General features: G+C 50.5%; 3 protein-coding genes across 8 annotated transcripts, besides 6 other annotated features; 2 read left to right on the top strand and 1 right to left on the bottom strand.

The window, feature by feature from the left end:
- Positions 1-9928, bottom strand: EEF1AKMT3 (EEF1A lysine methyltransferase 3). 2 transcript variants are annotated; one of them, NM_206914.2, is made up of 4 exons: positions 9641-9928; positions 9414-9525; positions 7775-7913; positions 1-2287 (listed from the first exon to the last, which is right to left on the bottom strand). In NM_206914.2, the coding sequence occupies exons 1-4, from the start codon at positions 9815-9817 to the stop codon at positions 2266-2268; spliced, it is 450 nt and encodes a 149-aa protein (NP_996797.1). In that variant the 5' UTR covers positions 9818-9928; the 3' UTR covers positions 1-2265. The 2 variants fall into 2 exon arrangements, with proteins under 2 accessions (NP_996797.1, NP_056248.2); NM_015433.3 differs by lacking the exon at positions 7775-7913.
- Positions 9764-10273: an enhancer, noted in NCBI's record as "NANOG-H3K27ac-H3K4me1 hESC enhancer chr12:58166052-58166561 (GRCh37/hg19 assembly coordinates)". NCBI's record gives its function as "activates a minimal SCP1, AML or CMV promoter by ChIP-STARR-seq in naive H9 embryonic stem cells {active_cell/tissue: H9 hESC(naive)}" and the evidence as "EXISTENCE:reporter gene assay evidence [ECO:0000049][PMID:30033119]".
- Positions 10379-11578: an enhancer, noted in NCBI's record as "CDK7 strongly-dependent group 2 enhancer chr12:58164747-58165946 (GRCh37/hg19 assembly coordinates)". NCBI's record gives its function as "activates an origin of replication core promoter dependent on BRD2, BRD4, P300/CBP, MED14 and CDK7 cofactors, with strong dependence on CDK7, by STARR-seq in HCT116 cells {active_cell/tissue: HCT116}" and the evidence as "EXISTENCE:reporter gene assay evidence [ECO:0000049][PMID:35650434]".
- Positions 10404-10693: an enhancer, noted in NCBI's record as "active region_6558". NCBI's record gives its function as "activates an Ori minimal core promoter by ATAC-STARR-seq in GM12878 lymphoblastoid cells {active_cell/tissue: GM12878}" and the evidence as "EXISTENCE:reporter gene assay evidence [ECO:0000049][PMID:35858748]".
- Positions 10437-14071, top strand: METTL1 (methyltransferase 1, tRNA methylguanosine). Of its 5 annotated transcripts, XM_005268873.3 has the most exons (7): positions 10437-10568; positions 10937-11062; positions 11285-11448; positions 12586-12770; positions 12864-12977; positions 13138-13239; positions 13391-14071. In XM_005268873.3, exons 3-7 carry the CDS (start codon positions 11304-11306, stop codon positions 13544-13546), a joined length of 702 nt encoding a protein of 233 aa, XP_005268930.1. In that variant the 5' UTR covers positions 10437-10568; positions 10937-11062; positions 11285-11303; the 3' UTR covers positions 13547-14071. The 5 variants fall into 5 exon arrangements, with proteins under 5 accessions (XP_005268930.1, NP_005362.3, XP_047284810.1 ...); NM_005371.6 differs by lacking the exon at positions 10937-11062; XM_047428854.1 differs by lacking the exons at positions 10937-11062; positions 11285-11448.
- Positions 15464-20208, top strand: CYP27B1 (cytochrome P450 family 27 subfamily B member 1). The gene is made up of 9 exons (NM_000785.4): positions 15464-15695; positions 16345-16535; positions 17043-17245; positions 17331-17531; positions 17616-17788; positions 17992-18164; positions 18366-18444; positions 18734-18931; positions 19287-20208. The coding sequence occupies exons 1-9, from the start codon at positions 15501-15503 to the stop codon at positions 19398-19400; spliced, it is 1527 nt and encodes a 508-aa protein (NP_000776.1). The 5' UTR covers positions 15464-15500; the 3' UTR covers positions 19401-20208.
- Positions 17392-17471: an enhancer, noted in NCBI's record as "active region_6557". NCBI's record gives its function as "activates an Ori minimal core promoter by ATAC-STARR-seq in GM12878 lymphoblastoid cells {active_cell/tissue: GM12878}" and the evidence as "EXISTENCE:reporter gene assay evidence [ECO:0000049][PMID:35858748]".
- Positions 17392-18221: a biological region, named in NCBI's record as "H3K4me1 hESC enhancer GRCh37_chr12:58158104-58158882".
- Positions 17443-18221: an enhancer, noted in NCBI's record as "H3K4me1 hESC enhancer chr12:58158104-58158882 (GRCh37/hg19 assembly coordinates)". NCBI's record gives its function as "activates a minimal SCP1, AML or CMV promoter by ChIP-STARR-seq in naive and primed H9 embryonic stem cells {active_cell/tissue: H9 hESC(naive and primed)}" and the evidence as "EXISTENCE:reporter gene assay evidence [ECO:0000049][PMID:30033119]".

Below are 21520 nucleotides of genomic sequence, written 5' to 3'. Positions count from 1 at the left end.
TGTGGGTAACATTTTATGTTTATTTTCAATGCGCATTTATATTCATTATCCATTTATGACTCACAACAAACTTGTGTGGTTGGTGAATGGGTTCGAGAATTTGTCCAAGGTCACCTAGGAAGGCAGGGGTGGAATCCATTAAACAAAGCGAGTAAATATTTATTGAATGAGCACAATATCTGTTGAACACCTGTTGTGTGCCAGGAACTGTGTTAGGCTTCAGGGGTTTAGACAGGAGTAAACCACAGCCCTACCCTCCAAGGTAATTTAATGGTGAGAAAATGAGAATCACAAATGTCCATGCAAGACAAATTAAGGTCCCATAAGATGAACCTTATGGGTCTCAGGGAGAAAGAAATCACATTCAAGCAAGAGGCTCAGGAAAGAGGCAAAGAATAATGAAGATTTTGACAGGTGGCAATAGCCTTTCAGGCAGAGGATTATCATAAAGAGTGTGAAAGAAGTCAGAAAACTTTAGTGTGGTTTTAGAGAACAAAGAGTACATCTTTTGTAATTTGGCCAGAGGTCCAATACACGTAGCAAAGGAGTAGGAAATGCAATAGGAAGGTAATTTTGGATCACATGGACACAGACTAAGTACCAAGCAGAGGAGCTTGTTCTTGCTTCTACAGGAAGTGAAAGCTAATCAGAGCTAATTTTGGAAGATCACAAGAGTTTGCGGAATGGACTGAAGGAGAAAGCATGGAAGCAGGGAGTCCAGAGAAGGTGACTATGTGCCTAAGCAGTAAGTAAAGAGAGCCCCAACCAGAAGTACCAATGTGGGAAGAGAAAAGAGGTTAAGGCAAAACACATTAGGAACTGTGTTAGGCTTCAGGGGATTAGAGATTAGGAAGGAAGGACTGATGAAGCTAAAGAAAAATCAAAGATGAAAAGAACTTAGTACTAGGTACAGTATTCTTCTGCACACAATGATGTTCCGTGATCAAGGCTCTAACTCTGGAAAGCATGAAGAAATACAGTCCAAAGGACAGCTCTGCAGCCTTAGCTTCAGAGCTAGGAGGACTTGACCCAGTTAGAGCCATGGTTCCACTAGACTCTATCTCTAAAAAGCAGGAAATGGGTGGTTTGAGGCTTCTTCCTTCTCAGCTCCTGAGTAAAAGTTGGGTTCTTGCACAATAGATTTTTAAGGCTTAATTCTTTCTTAAAAAAAAAAAAAAATCCTAGGCTAGCACAGTGGGCCATGCCTGCAATCCCAGCACTTTGGGAGGCAAGGCGGGTGGATCACTTGAGCCCAGGAGTTTGAGACCACCCTGGGCAACATGGCGAAACCCTGTCTCTACTGAAAATACAAAAATTAGCCGGGTGTGGTGGCGCATGCCTCTAGTCCCAGCTACTTGGGGAGCTGAGGCAGGAAGATCATCTGGGCCTTCAGAGGTTGAGGCTGCAGTGAGCTGTGATCACACCACTGCACTCCAGCCTGGATGACAGAGTGAGACCCTGTCTCAAAAAAAAAGAAAAAAAGAAAAAAAAATCCCACAGAATTTTTTTAAAGTCCATTCTGTGTAAACAGCAACAGGAATGGAAGTGATCAGTGACAGTCTGTCTACAATCACTGCTCTCACATCCCATATATCTCCCTTACCCCCTAAAAATCCTGGATACCTTACCATCCTCCTTCTCTGAGAACAGGAGCCAGGAACCTCCTTGGTGTTCTAACACTAGTGCTGCCAGAACTCTGGGATTCCTTGTAAGCAGGCACCTCACTGCACCTGCCCAAGAGTATCTGGGGTAACAAAGAGGGAAGGAGGAAAGTGAGAGAGGCCAGGGAAATCCATCCTTTTTGGTCCTCATGTTTGTGGCTCTGGAAATATGGTTTTTGAGATACACAGTTCCTTCATTAGAGCAAGAGATTGAGAAGAACAGCAAGGGTGATGTCAAGCAGGTCTTGGTTCCCTGTGCCTGGCCCTATAGATGTTGACATTTTCATCCTCATCCCGCTGAGCCAGCTCCAGTTGGAAATGCTGGGGCAGGAGGTGCTGAAAGAAGCTCTCTGTCCCATGCTCCTTTCTCATCTTGGAGGCCAGATAGATGGTGCCATGGGGCCTGCACAGGTGTTGGAGGGTCCCCAGCAGCAGAGGGAAGGTGGGTTCCAGGTACACGATATCAGCCCCCAGCACCAGGTCATAGTTTGCAGGGAAGACATGATGGTCAATCCCCCAGGACAAGGCACGCACCTGGGCCTGGCCTCCAGCTGGCACATTGGCCTGGACGTTGCCCTGGATCTGTTCTAGGGCCAGGGGCAGGTCAGTGATGGTAACATCCCCCCCTGAGAGAGAGGAAGGAGGAAAAATGCAAGTCAGAGGAACCAACCAAGGGTTCTTGGCTCCTGCCTGGAAGGTCCAGAGACCTCAGAGCATAGAGGACAATGTCTTGACAGCCCAGAGCCCACACTGGCTTTTAGTTGCCTCAACCTCCATTTCACCCACTGCTATTCTCATTACTCTACATTCTACAACATCAACATTCTCTCTGAGCTAATCTTCAACCTCTCTGGCCAACACACAACAATCAGATGTCAGCAGAAGCCTGGGCAGGACTAAGCTGGAGATGGGTTCTGTACCCACCCCCACTGACACAAGCTCGCCTTAAGGGTCTGGAAAGCTTCCCAGAAAATGTGACCTCAGCTGAGCCCTAAAGGACAAGTAGGAGTTAGTCAGGTGGAGCTTTCCAAGAAGAGAACAGTGAGTACAAAGGCCTGGGAGTGAAAGAGCATGGCATATTCAGGAAAGGCTGCATCTTAGAGGATGTGGAAGGGGGAGAAAAGTGTCAAGACATGAGACAAAGGGAAAGTGATTATGACATGCTAAGAAGATTCAGGTTCGATACTGAGGGCAGTAAGCTTTAAGGGCAGAAACGGGTGAAGATGGTCAGATTAGCATCTCAGAAACCTTCATTCATGCAGTAGATATAATTTGGAGAACCTTCTAAGTGCTGGGTATATAAGGTGAGCAAGACAAAAACACAGCTTTCTTTGTTTCATTCTAGAGGTAGAGACACACTAGGTACTGCATCATAATCATGATGACTATGATAGAAAGAGAAGCAAGAAGTACTAGGAATCCATTCATTCATTCATATTTATTATGTGCCTATATGCCAAGTGCTGAGAACATAATGATGAACTAAGAAGATAAGAATCCCCCCTCACAGAGCTTATGGTCCAGTGGCAAGAAACAGATGATAACAACAAACAAAATAAATAAAATAAAATACACTGTACATCAGATGGTAATATATGCCATGGTGAAGCCCCAAGCAGGGAAGGGGGATAAGAATTGCTTGAGGGATGGGGAGAAATGCAAGTTAGAGGGACCAACCAAGGGTTCTCGGCTCCTACCTGGAAGGTCCAGAGACCCCAGGGCATAGAGGACAAAGTCTTGGCAGCCTGAATGTAATTTTAAATTGAGTGGCTGGAGAATGAAATTTTAAATTGAGTGGTCAGACCAGCCTGACCAAAATGGTGAAACCCCATATCTACTAAAAATACAAAAAAATTAGCTGGGTGTGGTGGCGGGCGCCTGTAATGCCAGCTACTAGGGAGGCTGAGGCAGGAGAATCGCTTGAACCTGGGAGGCGAAGGTTGCAATGAGCCGAGATTGTGCCATTGCACTCCGACCTGGGCAACAAGTGCAAGACTCTGTCTCAAAAAAAAAAGAATGGCACACGCTGGCATGCTTTAGGAGGAGCATGCTGGCTGCTATGATGAGAAGAGTACAGGAGGGCAAGGTCAGAAGCTAGGAGACCAGTTAGGAGGTGATGGCAATGACTCAGGTGAGAGATGATGATGGTTTAAACCAGGGCAGTAGCAATGGCTAAGAAATGGTCAGATCCTGAATATATTTTGAAGGTAGAGTCAACAGGATTTGCCAATAGATTGGATATAAAATATGAGAGAGAGAGAAAAGCTTGGGATGGGCCAGGCACAGTGGCTCACGCCTGTAATCCCTTTGGATTACACTTTGGGAGGCCAATGCGGGATGACTGCTTGAGTCCAGGAGTTTGAGACCAGTCTGGGCAACATAGCAAAACCTCGTCTCTATAAAAAATACAAAAATTAGCTGGGTGTGGTGGCACATCCTGTAGTCCCAGCTACTCGGGAGGCTGAGGTCAGAGGATTGCTTGAGCCTCGGGAGGTTGAAAGTTCAGGGCTTTAGTGAGCCATGATTGTGCTACTTTCACTCCAGCCTGGGCAACAGAGTGAGAACCTGTCTCAAAAAAAAAAAAAAAGCTCAGGATGGTTTCTGGGTGTTTGGCCTGACCAACTAGAAGACCAAATTGCCACTCATTTAGATGAGAAAGGTTGCAGGAGGCGCAATTTGGACAGGAAGATCATGAGTTCATTTTCTGAGCACGTTAAGTTTGACATGGACTTCTATATCACATCAGACAACCACATGAAGATACTGAGTAGGCACTAGGTTATGCAAGCAAGTCTGGAGATAGAAATGGGATAGTCTTAGAGTCATGATCACCAACGGGGCATTTTTTTTTTTTTTTTTTTGAGATGGAGTCTCGCACTTGTTGCCCAGGCTGGAGGGCAATGGCATGATCTCGGCTCATTGCAACCTCCGCCTCCCAGGTTTAAGCAATTCTCCTGCCTCAGCCTCGCAAGTAGCTGGGATTACAGGCGCCTGCCACCACGCCCGGCTAATTTTGTATTTTTAGTAGAGATGGGGTTTCACCATGTTGGTCAGGCTAGTCTCAAACTCCTGACCTCAGGTGATCCACCCACCTTAGCCTCCCAAAGTGCTCGGATTACAGGCGTAAGCCACCGCGTCCGGCTTCAACAGGACATTTAAAGGCATGAGGTGATGGGCTGCTCAGGAGTGAGGTAGACAAGAAAAGGAGGGGATCAAAGGACTGCCCCTGAGCCCTGGGGCACTCACATTTTCAGTTGTGAAGATGAAAAAGAACCAACAAGAGAGCATGGAAAAGGAGTTCCTGCCGGTAAGCAGAAACCAGAAGTGTGGTCCCCTGGAAACCAAAGGAATTGTTCCAAGGAGGAGGGAGTGTCAGCATCAAATGCAAAGTTATCAAAGGTAGGCTGATAACTGACTCCTGCGTTTAACAACCTGGAGTTGGAAATGAAGCTCACGACCTTAACTAGAACAATTGGATTGAAGGAAAGAATAGGAGGAGAGGAACTAGACACTGAATATTAACTCTTTTGAGTTTTGTTTTAAAGTGGAGCATAGAAATGGAGTGATAGCTGGAGGGAGATGTAGGATCAAGAGTTTTTTTCTGAAATAAGAGAAATCATAGCATATTTATATGCATTTTATATTCCATATATTACTATATATGGAATGATCCAAAGAAAAGGAAAAACTGAGAATGCAGGAGAGATGGGGGTGGGTGTTGCTGGAACAATGTCTTTGAGTAGGCAGAAAGATTTGGGGTCTTGTGACAAGTGGGGGGCTTGACCTTAGCTAGCACAATGTGTTCATCCATGGTAACAGGAGAGAAGGCACTGCACACAGATGCAGATGCAGTCACATAAGTAGATGTTGTGATAAAAATATATGGACATTTTCTGAGAAAACAGAAGCAATCATTAGAGATAAGAAACAGCCCAGGTGCGGTGGCTCACATTTGTAATCCCAGCACCTTGGGAGGCCAAGGCAGGTGGATCACCTGAGGTCAGGAGTTTGTGACCAGCCTGGCCAACATGGTGAAACCCCATCTCTACTAAAAATACAAAAATTAGCCAGGCATGGTGGTGCGTGCCTGTAATCCCAGCTACTTGGAAGGCTGAGACAGGAGAATCACTTGAACCTGGGAAGCAGAGGTTGCAGTGAACCAAGGTCGCACTACTGCAGTCCAGCCTGGGCAACAGAGTGAGACTCCATCTCAAAAAATAAAATAAAATAAAATAAAATAAAGAGATAGGAAACAAAGTCATCAGGTGAGGGTGAAGATGGCAGAAGAGGCATGTGGAGGTTTGAGGAATAAGAAGGTAAGAAACAGTTGTTCAGGAGAGTGGCAGAAAAAGTGGACGAGAGAATGTACCAGGCTAGCTGGGAAGCACTTAGGACCCACCTAAGGCCAATGGTAACAAAGTTAAAATTAGCCCAGTTAGCACAGTTGTGTATGTACTGGGAGGGTCTAAGTTAGCCTAGGAGTGGGAGTGCCAAGGAGGCCTTCCCTTCGAAGTGATGTTTGAGCTGAGGAAGGAGGGATGCATATGCATTAAGCAGATGGTAAAAAGTTTCAGACAGAAAGTAAGCCTGAGTGAAGTCCCCAAGGAAGGGAACATCAGAGTAGGTTTGAGGAACTGATGGACAGGCAATAGGCAGCCCAAGAAAAACAAGAGAGAAAGAGGCACAGAAAGAGGGAGGCAGGACCTTGGGGGCCATGCCATAGGTGTTGGTTCTATCCTGAAAGCAACAAGAGGCCACTGAAAGATTTGGGGTGGGAATACATGATTACAGTTTTATTTTGAAAAGATCACTCTGACCACTAGGTGGAAGGGCAGAGGTCTAGGTGAGGACAAGGAGTCAAAGCAGGAAGACAAGTGTGGCTGTTGTAGTAGTCCAGGCAAGTGATCGTGGTGGTTTGGACTGGGGAGCTGTCAATGGAGATGGAAAAACATGAGAAGATTTAAGAAATTTTTAGGAGATAAACTGAATAATGGACATGTAGGTGAGAAAGAGGGTCGTGTCAAAGGTGATGTCTAGGTTTCCCACTGGGTGCACAGTGATTTGATTCACTGAGATAGGGAAGTCTGAGGGAGAAATGTGTTTGGTGGAGGAAGGTCACAAGATCTAGTTGGGTATGTCACACTTCCCCAGAAGAAGCTTGAAGGCCCTTGCGAAAATCCAGGCAAGAGATGCCAGTGGCCTGAACTAGAGATGCTGAAAAGATAATACTTCCCCAGACAACTGGAAGTTGTGGCCAGATCACTTGAGGCCAGGAGTTCACGACCAGCCTGGCCAACATGGCAAAACTCTGTCTCTACTAAAAACACAAAAATTAGTGAGGCATAGTGGCAGACATCTGTAATCCCAGCTACTCGGGAGGCTGAGGCAGGAGAATCGGTTGAACCCAGGAGGCGGATGTTGCGGTGAGCCGAGATCATGCCACTGCATTGCAGCTTGGGTGACAGAGTGAGACTCTGTCTCAAAAAGGAAAAAAAAAAAAAAAAGAACATTTAACTCATAGGACTGGGTGATTGCTGGAATGTGAGGGGAGAAAGTGAGGGACAAGATGACATCCAGCTTTCTGACTTGACAGCTAAATAGGAGGCAAAGAAGGAGAAGCCAGTCTGGGAGCAAGTGAAGCTAGGTGTTCCCATCCATACCGCATGCCTTTTCTCCCCTTTTTAGCATAACTGCCTGCATCCACCCATGCTTCATGCAAAAACTGCTGTTGGCACCCTCCACTGTTTCTTTTTTTTTTTTTTTTTTTTTTTTTTTGAGATGGCGTTTCACTCTTGTTGCTCAGGCTGGAGTGCAACGGTGCAATCTTGGCTCACTGCAACCTCCGCCTCCCGGGTTCAAGCAATTCTCCTTTCTCAGCCCCCCAAGTAGCTGGGATTACAGGCATGCACCACCACACCCGGCTAATGTTGTATTTTTAGTAGAGATGGGGTTTCTCCATGTTGGTCAGGCTGGTCTCAAACTCCTGACCTCAGGTAATCCGCCTGCCTCGGCCTCCCAAAGTGCCGGGATTATAGGCATGAGCCACCGAGCCCGGCCGGCACCCTCCAGTGTTTCTGAGCCTGCTGTGTTCACACTGTTCACCTCCTCCTCACCTGACAGAGCTTCCCTTGATGGATTCCCAGGGAGTCATGGTAGACATGGATAGAGCATGTCCACAGGCTCCACGCATACCTCGCCAGAGTTCTTGTTCTATGACATCGTCCTCTGTCTCCCTCACTAGACCATAAGCTCCTTGGGGAGAGAAAATCTGTCTTATTTATTGTTGAATCCCCAATACCTAGCATGATTCTTGGTACATAGGGGACTTGAAATACATTTTGGTTGAATGAATAGAAGAATGAATGCCTGCCTCTGGGAAGATTTCCCTTTTTTTATTTTTGAGACAGAGTTTCACTCTTGTTGCCCAGGCTGGAGTGCAATGGTGCGATCTCAGTTCACTGCAACCTTCACCTCCCGGGTTCAAGCGATTCTCCTGTCTCAGCCTCCCAAGTAGCTGAGATTACAGGCATAAGCCATCATGCTCGGCTAATTTTGTATTTTTAGTAGAGATGGGGTTTCACCATGTTGGTCAGGCTGGTCTCAAACTCCTGACCTCAGGTGATCCACCCACCTTGGCCTCCCAAAGGGCTGGGATTACAGGTGTGAGCCACTGCGCCCGGCTAGGCTTCCCTTAATATGACCTAGTTCTGTCCCTATGAACAAAGACATGTTAATTTACATTCCTAGGGAGATGACATTGTAAGAATTTTTAAACGAGTGCTTTCAGTTTGAGGTTTTTTCTGCCCATTAGATTATAATTTGTGAAACTGTTTCCTCTGTAGTTTTTGCTTCTTGACAAAAGAGAAGCAAATTTTTCCTTACCTTTTCCTTTTCCAAGTCTGCAGTGTCTAATTCCTACCCCGCTTCCTACAAAACACATCCTAACCCTTGGAAACTCATAAGCTTGTTTCTCTTAGCAATAAAAACCTAAGGAATCTGAAATATATTCATAATAAAGTTATAAAGCACTCACGAAGTTTAATGTCTGCAAGTCTCCCTACAGAGTACCCCCATATGTGCATCTTGACAGAAGACCATGTCCAAAGCCAAGGCGCTTTTAAGTGACAGTATTCTCCATAAAATCACAAAGAGTAACACAAGGCTGGGTGTCGTGGCTCACGCCTGTAATCCCAGGCGCCTCGCGAGGCAGATGGATCACCTGAGGTCAGGAGTTCGAGACCAGCCTGGCCAACATGGTGAAACGTCTTCTACTAAAAATACAAAAAGTAGCCGGGTATGGTAGCGCAAGCCTGTAATTCCAGCTACTTCGGAGGCTGAGGCATGAGAATTGCTTGAACCCGGGAGGCAGCGGTTGCAGTTAGTGGGGATAGCAGCCACTGCACTCCAGCCTGGGCGACACAGTGAGACTCCGTCTCAAAAAAACAAAAAAAATTAAAAACAAAAAAAAAGCAACACGATAGAAACAACTCCTTCTTATAGGCCTGCCTGAGTTTTATTTCCTGCCCTCCCCAATCACCCACCCTAGGTGCTTTGACAGGCAATTCGCGCTGTCTGGCACGCAGAAGCAGACGCCAAAATAAAAACAAAAACAAATTTTAAAAAAAAATTTGTTAAAAAGAAGGGGTTAGACTGGGCCCAAAGTTCTCCCCTCTCCCCCAAAGATCCACGAAGTGACCATTTCTCCGCGCCCCTGGGTCCCCACTCTCTCCCGTAAAAAGCCAGCTCACGCACCCTGCAGCGCTGCCAAGATCCCCACGATGCCTGTCCCCGCACCCAGTTCGATCACCTTCTTGCCTCGGAAATCCACATTTTGACTCTCGAAATAATTGCACAGGCTCAGGGCCTACGGGAGAAAAGACAGAGAAAAAGACAGTCGTGAGGATGGCTCCATATGGGAGAGGCGGAGTCCGGGATCTGGACCTCCCACGGACCCTCACCCGGCGCAGCCCATTCCTCACCGCGTCCCACACGCGCGCCGCCACCCCGAGGCGGGACCCAAAGTTCTGCGTGATGGTCAGCACATGCCCACAGAAACAGAACTGGCTCTTCTCCGAGTAAGAGTCTGCAAAGAGCCCGACCTCCCGCGGGAACACCGATTCCGACTCAGATTCGGGATCTGGGCCGGGGTCCGCCATCCGGCCCGCCAAGGGAGTGCCTGGGCACCGCGGCCGGCGCTCAGATCCCGGATCCGGAGCGGGGTAGAGGCTGGGGGCCGCGAGCCGTCGTGGTGTCCCTGTGGAACGAGCCCCGCCTCCCTGAGTTTGCCCTCCTTCCTCCAGTTCGATTTCCTGGAGGTGGAATGAGGAGCTGCCCCTCCCGCCCCGGCCCCGAGCGCACACTCGACGAAACCCACACGGGACCACAAGAGTCAGACCGGGCGGACTGGTCCGAGACCAGGAGTAAGGGGACAGGAGCGAGGACTGATGCCACTGTAGAAGGCGAGGTCTCTAGACCCCTCTCACCTGTGGGGTGCACAGGTGCCTGCAACCAGGATGGTAACCCAGACCAGGCAGAAGCAAGCTAAGAGAAAACGTTGGGTCCCTGGGCCTGGCCTCGCCCTCCCAGTTGGAGGCTAACGGTGCGGAGGTTCCCTCCAGCACTCGCTCCTTACAGCCCTCCCCACCTAGCCCAGCCCAGCCCAGCCCAGCCCAGCTGAATTTGCTCTTGGGTCTTTAAGGGGCGGGAACTGCCACCAACGCGCATGGCTGCGTCATTAACTTGCGCCTCTGGCCTGCGCCTCCACGTGGATTTGGTAGAGAAACCCCGGACTGGGATCATGGCAGCCGAGACTCGGAACGTGGCCGGAGCAGAGGCCCCACCGCCCCAGAAGCGCTACTACCGGCAACGTGCTCACTCCAACCCCATGGCGGACCACACGCTGCGCTAGTGAGGAGTGGGCAGAGGGAGAGAGAGGAGGGCGGGATTCTCAAAGCAGCCGGGAGAGCAGTTGTGCTGCAACTGCTGGGAGGATTTGGGGTAGACCCGGGAGGATCAGATGGGTGACGTCAGTTTTTGGGGGTGGGACCGGGAGATTCGACCGAGAGAGGAGTTGGCGGGTTGAGAGTGGGCGTGGCGTTCGGGCCTAAGTCTGGGTAGCGGTGCTAAGTTTGGGAAGAGAAATAAATTGTTACTGAGACTGAAGTGATAGAGGCAGAATGTCGTTTCCATCTTTTGCTTTTGTTTGTTGGATTTAATAAAAAGGCAAACATATACACAATCCTGCCCGCACCTTACCTTACCTTCCCTCCCCGCAGAGCACAAACACAAAGTAGGATCCCAGTGCATTAGGCAGCCAGTCTCGGGAGAAGGGGAACTTGTGCCCCAGAAAGGGCAGTTACCCGGCCAGGGTCACATCAACCGCCAGAAGTGGAGTTGGGCAGGTCAGCGTTTATGGGCCTCATGATGGTCCTATGATTCACACTGGGAGTTAAGGGTGGTTTCCATTGTCCCTCTTAGAGGCCACAGGGCCCAGTGTTACAGAATTTTTGAGAAACCCTCCTCCCTTTTACCTCCCACCCTCACCCACCCACACACTCTCACAGTACCACTTCTGCAATGGTGTGACCAACCTTCTCATGCTTCTTATGTCTTCTTTCCAATAGCCCTGTGAAGCCAGAGGAGATGGACTGGTCTGAGCTATACCCAGAGTTCTTCGCTCCACTCACTCAAAATCAGAGCCACGATGACCCAAAGGATAAGAAAGAAAAGAGAGCTCAGGCCCAAGTGGAGTTTGCAGACATAGGCTGTGGCTATGGTGGCCTGTTAGGTAACACTCAGGCCCTCTTTTTGGGGTGAGAAGAGGCCTAGTAGCTTCTGCTGCCTCAGCAACTTTTGTGGGGGGTCATAATTGGCCTTTCCCCTTTCGTCCAGACACTGGTGACATCAGCATGGAGAGGCTCCACCTACCCTCTACTCTGGGTCTGTGACCTTTGCCCTGGAGAGTGGAGGGGGCTGCCTCAAATGCTTCTTAAAACCTGGGTTGTCCTTTCTGGCGTCAATCCCTACATGAGCCATTTCATCTGCCAGGTTCCGGGTCAGTGAGCTGGTCAGCACAAGCATCAGAGATTAGCCGTTGTGGCCAGTGATCCTGAACTGTCTTTTCTCAGAGATTCTACCATCTCCCCTCCCCTTTGCCCCTCCCTCGCCAGATCTCATTCCTTCTGCCCCACTCTCCTGTTTTTTGGGTTCCTCTTGTATTGTCTGTATTGTCCCACCCATGCATGCCAAGCCACTCCCTATTTTTAGATCTTCCCAAACAGATAACAGCCTGATAGAGAAGAAGAGCATGGTACATAGAGGCAGAAAACCTTGGTTTAAGGTCCAGTTCTGCCTGGGCACAGTGGCTCACACCTGTAATCCCAACACTTTGGGAGGCTGAGGCAGGTGGACCACTTGAGGCCAGGAGTTCAAGACCAGCTACTCAGGAGGCTGAGGCAGGAGAATTACTTGAACCTGGGAGGCAGAGATTGCAGTGAGCCAAGATTGTGCCACTGCACTCCAGCCTGGGTGACAGAGCAAGACTCCATCTCAAATAAATAAGTTCCAGTTCTGCCCCTTCTTAACTCTATGATCTTCGGCATATCTGACCCTCAGTTTCCTTATCTTCACAATTTACCACAGAGTGTTATAAGGATGAAATAACACAATGTGTGAAAACACTGTGGAAAACTCTAAAGCAATGGCAAATATACATGTATCCTCAGCCCTCCCATTCTGGTCCTGGTGACAATTTTCATTTCTCCCCCCGCCTCTTGAGCATAAAACTATCCATATATGTATCTCTGTCCTCTCTTGCCGTTCTGGACTTTGGTAGTTGCAGGTTGAGGCTTCCTTTCCTGTGTTGACCCCTTTGCACTTCCTACAAGTATATGGTTGATGATTCCATTGCTATTTCTGTGTGCAGTGGAACTGTCACCGCTGTTCCCAGACACACTTATTCTGGGTCTGGAGATCCGGGTGAAGGTCTCAGACTATGTACAAGACCGGATTCGGGCCCTACGCGCAGCTCCTGCAGGTGGCTTCCAGAACATCGCCTGTCTCCGTAGCAATGCCATGAAGCACCTTCCTAACTTCTTCTACAAGGGCCAGGTGGGGAGGGGCCCTGGTGGGTTAGGCTGGTAGGCAGGTGGGGGCATGGAGGCCAGGCTCTCACAACCCTGTTGGTGTGTGTCTGTCTCACAGCTGACAAAGATGTTCTTCCTCTTCCCCGACCCACATTTCAAGCGGACAAAGCACAAGTGGCGAATCATCAGTCCCACCCTGCTAGCAGAATATGCCTACGTGCTAAGAGTTGGGGTGAGTTGGGATCGGAGGGATGATGGGGTGAGTGGCCTACTCAGGGGCCCTTCACTAAGAATTCAGTGGGGGTGCATTTAGGGACTCACACCACCACTTCCTTCATCTGGCTGCTGACGTTGCATGCAGCCTCCTGTCTAGGGTGATTTTGCCTATGCAGGGGCTGGTGTATACCATAACCGATGTGCTGGAGCTACACGACTGGATGTGCACTCATTTCGAAGAGCACCCACTGTTTGAGCGTGTGCCTCTGGAGGACCTGGTGAGTAGGGGACCTAGAGGAGGTGGAGGCCCTTTCCAGAGTGGTTCTGTATTTGGACTTAACTCAGTGCCAGGAGGATGGGATAGGTGTCTAAGGGCCAGGGGCAGTCTGAACAGTGGGCAAGGACTTATTGGACCCTTCCTTCTCCCAGAGTGAAGACCCCGTTGTGGGACATCTAGGCACCTCAACTGAGGAGGGGAAGAAAGTTCTACGTAATGGAGGGAAGAATTTCCCAGCCATCTTCCGAAGAATACAAGATCCCGTCCTCCAGGCAGTGACCTCCCAAACCAGCCTGCCTGGTCACTGACTGCTTACTCTACCTTAGCTGGACCTCGTCTCCCAGGGATTAGAGAAAAGAGCAGGAGTCCTGGGTCTTCCCAGTTGAGACTGCTGGAGCTGAGACACAGTACTCTCTTAAAGAAGGTGGGGAGCTGCCCAGGGCAGAACCCACTGGTGTTCATGACTACCCCTGGCTCCTCTCACCTTGTCCCTCCACTGCCAACAGAAAACAAAGCAGCTGACTGAGATGGTCAAAGGACTTTGGACCATAGGGGATCTTTGGAAGGCTGTGGGGTCTTGCTCTTCCTTAGCACTCCTTTCTCCTTGTGAGATCTCTCCTCAGCTGGAATGAGGAATGTAGTCCATCTAAACTGCTTGCTAGGCTCAATTACCACTTCTGTTTGCTTTGTGGATCCTGGGATAACATGTATATGTGTACACATGCCTATTCTGCCATTTCTCAGGAAAGGGTGGAGTATGTATCATATGCCTTCTACCATCCTCCTGTCCTCTCCCTGCGTAAGACTTGACCTGGGGAATCTGTGTTCCCTAAGTGTTGTCTCTGGAGAGTCCTTGGGAAGGTGTGGGGGTGGAGACCCTCTCCTTTTTCACATTGACCTTCAATTCCAGAACTTCAGAGCTAGCTGACTGGCACAGAGCCTGATAGAGTTGCAGTGGGGAATGAGGGAGTAAGGAGCAGAGAGGTAAACTGTGGGAGATTCTTTTATTTTAATTTTTTTTAGAGACAGGCCCTCTCTCTGTTGCCTAGGCTGGAGTGCAGTGGTACAATCATAACTCACTGCAGCCTTGACCTCCCGGGCTCATGTAATCCACCTCAGCCTCTCAAGGCACTACAGGCATACGCCACCATGCCTGGCTAATTTTTGTATTTTTTGTAGAGACAGTTCCACTATGTTGCCCAGGCTGGTCTCAGACTCCTGAGCTCAAGCAGTCTGCCCACCTTAGCCTCCCAAAGTGTTGGGATTACAGTCATGAGCTGCCGTGCCCAGCCTAATTTTTAAACTTCTTCTGTAGAGACAGTCTTGCTATGTTGCTCAAGCTTGTCTCAACCTCCTGGCCTCATGCCATCCTCCTGCCTCAGCCTCCCAAAGTGCTGGGATTATAGGCATGAGCCACCACAGGATTCTGAGGCTAAAAGTAGAAAGGAGCTGCTAACCAGAAAGCCCCCCAGAGGAGACCGAGTCAGCTGGGGAATTAGAACATCCACATCCATTTAGCTCCTCTAACACCCCACAGACAATCTCTGAACTTAACTAATGTACAAAAAGTTTCATTTCTGCTTCTCAAGCCCCAAATTCCCATGTCTGGAAGGAGGGGGCTTGTATACCCAAGAGACCCCCTTATCCTCAAGAAAGAAAGATGGAGGTTCTAGGAGCCATTTTAGCCCATTAACCCACCTGCCATCTGCCCAGTATATGTTAGGTACAGGAGGAGGGGGAGGTGTGGCTAGTGCAGGAAAATAATGCAGAGAAGATACAACCCACTAAGCCAAGAATGTGGGGACAGTTACAGCTGTGCCTCCCCTGCTTCCCTTCCTGGAGGAGCTGAAAGATGGGGAATTCCTGAGGATGGGCCTAAAGGGGCTGGGCTCACTGGTAGAAGTGGGAATATCAGAGACTGACTAGTGTAGCTTGGTCACCTAGTCCCTACTAAAAAGCCTTATAGCCTTTCCTAGGATGAGACTTTGAGGCTCCTAGACAAAGGCACTCTCCCAGGAGGAAAATCTTAGGCCCTCCCTCCCATGAGGGTCATTGCAACATGAGACCCAAGGGAGTTGTGAAGTCAGCCCCAGCCCCGCCTACTGTTCCTGGGTGCTAATCCCCAGCACAGACCACTCAGGAGGAGGGATTGGCTGAGGAGCTTGGAGAGGGGGCGTCATCACCTCACCCAAAGGTTAAATAGGGGTTGAGATATGATGCTCAGGAGAAGCGCTTTCTTTCGCGAGCACCCTGAACCAGACCATGACCCAGACCCTCAAGTACGCCTCCAGAGTGTTCCATCGCGTCCGCTGGGCGCCCGAGTTGGGCGCCTCCCTAGGCTACCGAGAGTACCACTCAGCACGCCGGAGCTTGGCAGACATCCCAGGCCCCTCTACGCCCAGCTTTCTGGCCGAACTTTTCTGCAAGGGGGGGCTGTCGAGGCTACACGAGCTGCAGGTAGGAAGGGACGCCTTTCCCGAGACAGAGTGCTGGGGAAACTGGTTTTGACAGCGTCAGAAAGGACTGACTAGTGCAGAGCAAATGTGGGACAGCCAGAGAGAACGGATGCCCATGAAATAAGGAAAAGGCGAGTTGAGGCTGGGGGCGGTGTGGCTACACTCGGGCAGAGCCCGTCCCGACTCTTAGCAGAGGGCGCTGCGAAAGCGCCTTCTCGCTGTCCTGAGGTGTGGAGATCCTGCAGATAAAGTACAAGTGCGCGGGAGGGGGAGGCCGGAGTGGGCAGTACCCTCCGCCTGCTTGCGGCTTAAAGCTACATGGGTTCCTTTTCATTCACTGAGGACTCGTCCTGAGATGGACAGTCCAGACATGGAACTTTTAGAGATTTCTCCTCGACCGAGATGATCAGAGAGGTCCTGAATGTCTGCCTTGCACAAAGTTCCGGTTTTGCCCATCACACTCAAACTTTCTAGGGATGGGAAATGAGAGAGGAGGAGTTTGCAGTATCAAAGGCATACACTAGTTGGGCACCCGAGAAAGAGCAGAAGCTCCCTATTCCCAAGCCCAGTCAACGCCCTTGGCGTGGGCACAGGTCAAGCTGAAAGTCCCCGCCCAGGTATCCAAGTGTCCGCTGTGTCCGCTCCCCCAGGTGCAGGGCGCCGCGCACTTCGGGCCGGTGTGGCTAGCCAGCTTTGGGACAGTGCGCACCGTGTACGTGGCTGCCCCTGCACTCGTCGAGGAGCTGCTGCGACAGGAGGGACCCCGGCCCGAGCGCTGCAGCTTCTCGCCCTGGACGGAGCACCGCCGCTGCCGCCAGCGGGCTTGCGGACTGCTCACTGCGTGAGTCTTCTCTGCCCCCAGAAGCCCAGACGCCCTGCAGCGGCCCTCTCCTGCTGCGGGTCCCGAAACTATCAATCTGGGGGCATGGTGGGAGGTCGGCTGTCCCACTCTACCATTGGGCATCTTGGGGTTCCCATCCCAGTCTGCTTCACCCACACTCAGGTTGAGCCCCAACCTCACTCCCCGCCTACCTCCTTATCCTTTGAGGCCCGAATCCTGGGAACTGGGGGAACCGGAGGAATTGGGCTAGGGTACAAGGATCTGGATGGAATGAATGTAAGGTTCTGTGACTCAAGTTACCCGGGAACCCCGGCCCCTGAGGGCAGGAAATGAGTAAAGAGGAAGGGGGCTGGAAGACAGGCGCAGGCCGGTGCAGGTTTCCGTACCCCAAGGGGGCAGACGCAATCCCTCTCCTGGCCACCGCAGCCGAACGCGCTCCTTCACTGCAGCCAGTCCCGTCGAGCCGTCCCCACCTTCCCGATGCGCACTCTCTCCTCAACCCTGCAGGGAAGGCGAAGAATGGCAAAGGCTCCGCAGTCTCCTGGCCCCGCTCCTCCTCCGGCCTCAAGCGGCCGCCCGCTACGCCGGAACCCTGAACAACGTAGTCTGCGACCTTGTGCGGCGTCTGAGGCGCCAGCGGGGACGTGGCACGGGGCCGCCCGCCCTGGTTCGGGACGTGGCGGGGGAATTTTACAAGTTCGGACTGGAAGGTGAGTCCCAGGACAGAGCTGGGCAGGCGTCGGGGGCGCCCTACCAGAGCCTCCCGGAACCCTGACGGCGCCCCCTCCCGACAAGGCATCGCCGCGGTTCTGCTCGGCTCGCGCTTGGGCTGCCTGGAGGCTCAAGTGCCACCCGACACGGAGACCTTCATCCGCGCTGTGGGCTCGGTGTTTGTGTCCACGCTGTTGACCATGGCGATGCCCCACTGGCTGCGCCACCTTGTGCCTGGGCCCTGGGGCCGCCTCTGCCGAGACTGGGACCAGATGTTTGCATTTGGTAAGGCACAGGTCGAGGTGGAAATGGGGGAATGTAAAGCTGTCCAGGGGTAGCGAGGTATTCACGTGCCTTCTACCCACGCAGCTCAGAGGCACGTGGAGCGGCGAGAGGCAGAGGCAGCCATGAGGAACGGAGGACAGCCCGAGAAGGACCTGGAGTCTGGGGCGCACCTGACCCACTTCCTGTTCCGGGAAGAGTTGCCTGCCCAGTCCATCCTGGGAAATGTGACAGAGTTGCTATTGGCGGGAGTGGACACGGTGAGGTTCTCCCTCCGTGCTGTGAGCCGGTTCCAGGGCTTAGCCTCCGCAGACTCCGGCTCCATTTTTCTGTTGCAGGGGATCCATTATGGCCACGTAGACCAGCTTGGCTTAGCACCCTGTAGCCCCAGACTCTTCCATAATCTGCACCCTCTGCTGGGTTCTCACACCCAACACCTCTCTTGCTTTCACATGTTTTTCAGGTGTCCAACACGCTCTCTTGGGCTCTGTATGAGCTCTCCCGGCACCCCGAAGTCCAGACAGCACTCCACTCAGAGATCACAGCTGCCCTGAGCCCTGGCTCCAGTGCCTACCCCTCAGCCACTGTTCTGTCCCAGCTGCCCCTGCTGAAGGCGGTGGTCAAGGAAGTGCTAAGGTGAGGGGGAAGGAGAGGAGGAACAAGAGGAAATGCCAAGGAAGGGCTGGGGAAGCAACTAGTGGATGGAAGCAGGGAGATAGCAGAGAAAAATGGCCCTCTACTCCTGGCCAAAAAGGGTTTGGAAGTTGGAAACAATGAGAAGGGGGCTGCAGCCCCTAGCCTCATCTTGTTGTCTCCATTTTGTGCTTTGCAACCTAGACTGTACCCTGTGGTACCTGGAAATTCTCGTGTCCCAGACAAAGACATTCATGTGGGTGACTATATTATCCCCAAAAATGTGAGTAAAGCCTATGCACCCTTTCTACTGAGCCATTCCTCACTATCTTGGGCCCCAACCCTGTTCTCAAACACTCTCCTAAAAGCCCTTCAAACACTCCCCTTGACCCCTCTCTAGGATATGCCTTTCTAGGATGTAATGGAACAGTGGGGAGATCCTTCCAAAAGTAGCCCCAGAAAACTTCCCCATCACCCACCAGGACCTGCCTTTGTCCCTGTCTGAATATCCTCTTCTTCATGCCTGCCCTATTCTGAGCCCAAACTGACAAGTTTGTTTTCCTTTGCACCAGACGCTGGTCACTCTGTGTCACTATGCCACTTCAAGGGACCCTGCCCAGTTCCCAGAGCCAAATTCTTTTCGTCCAGCTCGCTGGCTGGGGGAGGGTCCCACCCCCCACCCATTTGCATCTCTTCCCTTTGGCTTTGGCAAGCGCAGCTGTATGGGGAGACGCCTGGCAGAGCTTGAATTGCAAATGGCTTTGGCCCAGGTGAGTGCTCTAGATTTTATACCTTCCCCAGACTGGAGAGACCCTAACCCTCTAAAGTTGTGAGCTCTTTCCCCTGACAAGCATAGGAAATCATATAAGACCTGGTAGAATGAATCTTCTGAAATATGATAAGCCCATTATAGGCCTGGAGTGTAAGTGAGGGTATTCAAACTATTTTTTCCCTACCATAATCCCTCACCCTTATTAACCAAGAAGTCCCCTACTGGCCACAGGTGCCACCCAATCATTGACCATTCTAACACTAATAATGCATGCCCTTTACCAATTGGATTACCAATGAATCCCCCCATTATAGATATCTTTCATAGTAATGCTCACCTTCTTCCCTTTCCAGATCCTAACACATTTTGAGGTGCAGCCTGAGCCAGGTGCGGCCCCAGTTAGACCCAAGACCCGGACTGTCCTGGTACCTGAAAGGAGCATCAACCTACAGTTTTTGGACAGATAGTCCCATGGAAAGAGACTGTCATCATCACCCTTTCATTCATCATAGGGATAAGATTTTTTGTAGGCACAAGACCAAGGTATACATCTTCCCCTAATGCCTATCTGACCAAACTGGATAGAACCACCATAGTGAAGTGTGAGGCGGCCCTGACCAATGTGTGAAGTATGCACTTGGCCTGACTCAGGAAGCCAGGTGAGAAAACCATGGTCTCTCTGCTTGCTTGGCCCTTCTGATCATGTATGCATCCCCCAAGGATGAAATCAGATTTTAACTAATAATGCTGGATGGCCTGAGGAAAGATTCAACTGCCTCTCTTTTTGGGCTTTCATAGTGTTCATTGATGCTGCTGGCTAAGCATTTATCAAAGCATAAGCTCAGTAACTGTGCATCTGGTCTGTACCTGGTTGGTCCTTCGTCTTTGCATGTAAGCTCTTTGAGAGGAAGGGTGAAGCCTTATTTGTTTTTTATGTCCCCTGCCAGGGCCTGTCTCTGACTAGGTGTCACCATACACATTCTTAGATTGAATCTGAACCATGTGGCAGAAGGGATAAGCAGCTTACTTAGTAGGCTCTGTCTACCCCCTTCCTTCTTTGTCTTGCCCCTAGGAAGGTGAATCTGCCCTAGCCTGGTTTACGGTTTCTTATAACTCTCCTTTGCTCTCTGGCCACTATTAAGTGGGTTTGCCCCATCACTTAGTTCTCAGGCAGAGACATCTTTGGGCCTGTCCCTGCCCAGGCCTCTGGCTTTTTATATTGAAAATTTTTAAATATTCACAAATTTTAGAATAAATCAAATATTCCATTCTTGATTTTGACTTATTTCTCTCATATTCCCACTTCCTACAAGACCTGGAGGCAAGACTCTAACCCTCCCATCTCCCACCTTGGTTTCTCAGGTCCTGGGGGTGACCCCCATAACAATGGGAGGTCTGGACGCCTGGAAGAGTAGTTTGTAACACAAACCCAGACATGTTTCTGTCTGTAGTGGGAACATCCAAGTCTAGTCTGGCTTCCTGTAAGAGATTAAGGGGGTGGGGGGTGAAAAGTAACGGCAGGGGCTAAGCTGTAAAATGGGCCCGGAGCTAGGGATTTGCAGACATGGGCAGAGGTTGCTGACTCTGGTAAGGAAAGTGCTTTTGGACTGCCAGGATTGAAGGAAGTCCTAGATTGGTCACTTTGCCCTCTCTGGAAAAGTTGTTCCAAGATAATTTCCTTCAGAGGAAGGGATACAAGCAGAGAAGTGGAATCAGACAGACAGAATGAAAGCTGAGTGTGGGGGTGGCCAGAAGCCCTGGGGCACTGAGGCAGGATAAGGGCGGTGGGCAGAGGGAGACTGTTTCCCTAAGTCAGCATTCTCTGGCCCCCCAGAGGCTGGGCACAGCTCTCCTCTTGTGATGTATACAGATTAACTCATCTTCCATCCAAATAAATCTCTCAGCACACTGCACAGTTCCTTCTGCATCCCAGATTACCCTTCCCATGTCAGGACTTGCCCCCCTTCCCCTACCGCTCACCCTATTCCAATTAGCTGGGTGTAGATGGAGATTTCACTTCACACTTCTTCCTCCTCCACACCTTGGCCTCCTGGCCTAGACATGGCTCCCTGACCGCAGAAACTCCAGTAGCCACCAGGCCTTTTGCAGGGGCATCTAATTATGCAAGATCTACAGAGGGGCAGGGCAGACCCAAAGCCTCGTACAAAGATCAAGGTTTCTGTGCATTTTCTGCCCTTCTCAACTCCTTCCCTACTGTATACTCAGTCTCCACCCCTATTCCTCTATCACTGAACTCAATTTGAACCTAAATGACCAAATTTTCAGCAGATTTGATCTTTGAGGGAGAATAAAGCCCAGCTTGTCAGACCCTTTACCCTGGAATCAGTGATGAGAATTCTGCCCATCCGTACTCCCTATTTTCCACTGGGCAAGTAGGAATGCCCACTTGAAGAGGGCAGCAGTTCCCATGACCCTTTCCTGGACAATGATCTTTTTAAGTTGGAAAAAGGAAGAAGAGGAGACCATACTGATTGCTGGCCCCAACTCCCATACCAAGACTTCCATTAGTGCTGAAGGAGAGGGGAAAGTGTCCCACTTGGCCTCATTTTAGGACCCAGAGTGTAAA

This window comes from Homo sapiens, chromosome 12 (assembly GCF_000001405.40).
Source record: "Homo sapiens chromosome 12, GRCh38.p14 Primary Assembly".
Taxonomy (NCBI): domain Eukaryota; kingdom Metazoa; phylum Chordata; class Mammalia; order Primates; family Hominidae; genus Homo; species Homo sapiens.
Note: the sequence above shows the minus strand (reverse complement) of the source record. Positions and strands in the feature narration are given on the sequence as shown.

What these genes read in the sequence shown, in the direction of transcription:
- EEF1AKMT3 (NM_015433.3), bottom strand. Translation starts at nt 9,817, where the DNA reads ATGGCGGACCCCGGCCCAGATCCCGAATCTGAGTCGGAATCGGTGTTC. An exon ending in CGGCGCGCGTGTGGGACGCG is followed by an intron (nt 9,526 to 9,640) that starts GTGAGGAATGGG and finishes TTTCTCCCGTAG; the next exon opens with GCCCTGAGCCTGTGCAATTA. An exon ending in GATCTTGGCAGCGCTGCAGG is followed by an intron (nt 2,288 to 9,413) that starts GTGCGTGAGCTG and finishes CCTCTCTCTCAG; the next exon opens with GGGGGGATGTTACCATCACT.
- METTL1 (NM_005371.6), top strand. Translation starts at nt 10,459, where the DNA reads ATGGCAGCCGAGACTCGGAACGTGGCCGGAGCAGAGGCCCCACCGCCC. An exon ending in ACTTCTTCTACAAGGGCCAG is followed by an intron (nt 12,771 to 12,863) that starts GTGGGGAGGGGC and finishes TCTGTCTCACAG; the next exon opens with CTGACAAAGATGTTCTTCCT. An exon ending in GTGTGCCTCTGGAGGACCTG is followed by an intron (nt 13,240 to 13,390) that starts GTGAGTAGGGGA and finishes TCCTTCTCCCAG; the next exon opens with AGTGAAGACCCCGTTGTGGG.
- CYP27B1 (NM_000785.4), top strand. Translation starts at nt 15,501, where the DNA reads ATGACCCAGACCCTCAAGTACGCCTCCAGAGTGTTCCATCGCGTCCGC. An exon ending in GCTTGCGGACTGCTCACTGC is followed by an intron (nt 16,536 to 17,042) that starts GTGAGTCTTCTC and finishes TCAACCCTGCAG; the next exon opens with GGAAGGCGAAGAATGGCAAA. An exon ending in ACTATATTATCCCCAAAAAT is followed by an intron (nt 18,445 to 18,733) that starts GTGAGTAAAGCC and finishes CCTTTGCACCAG; the next exon opens with ACGCTGGTCACTCTGTGTCA.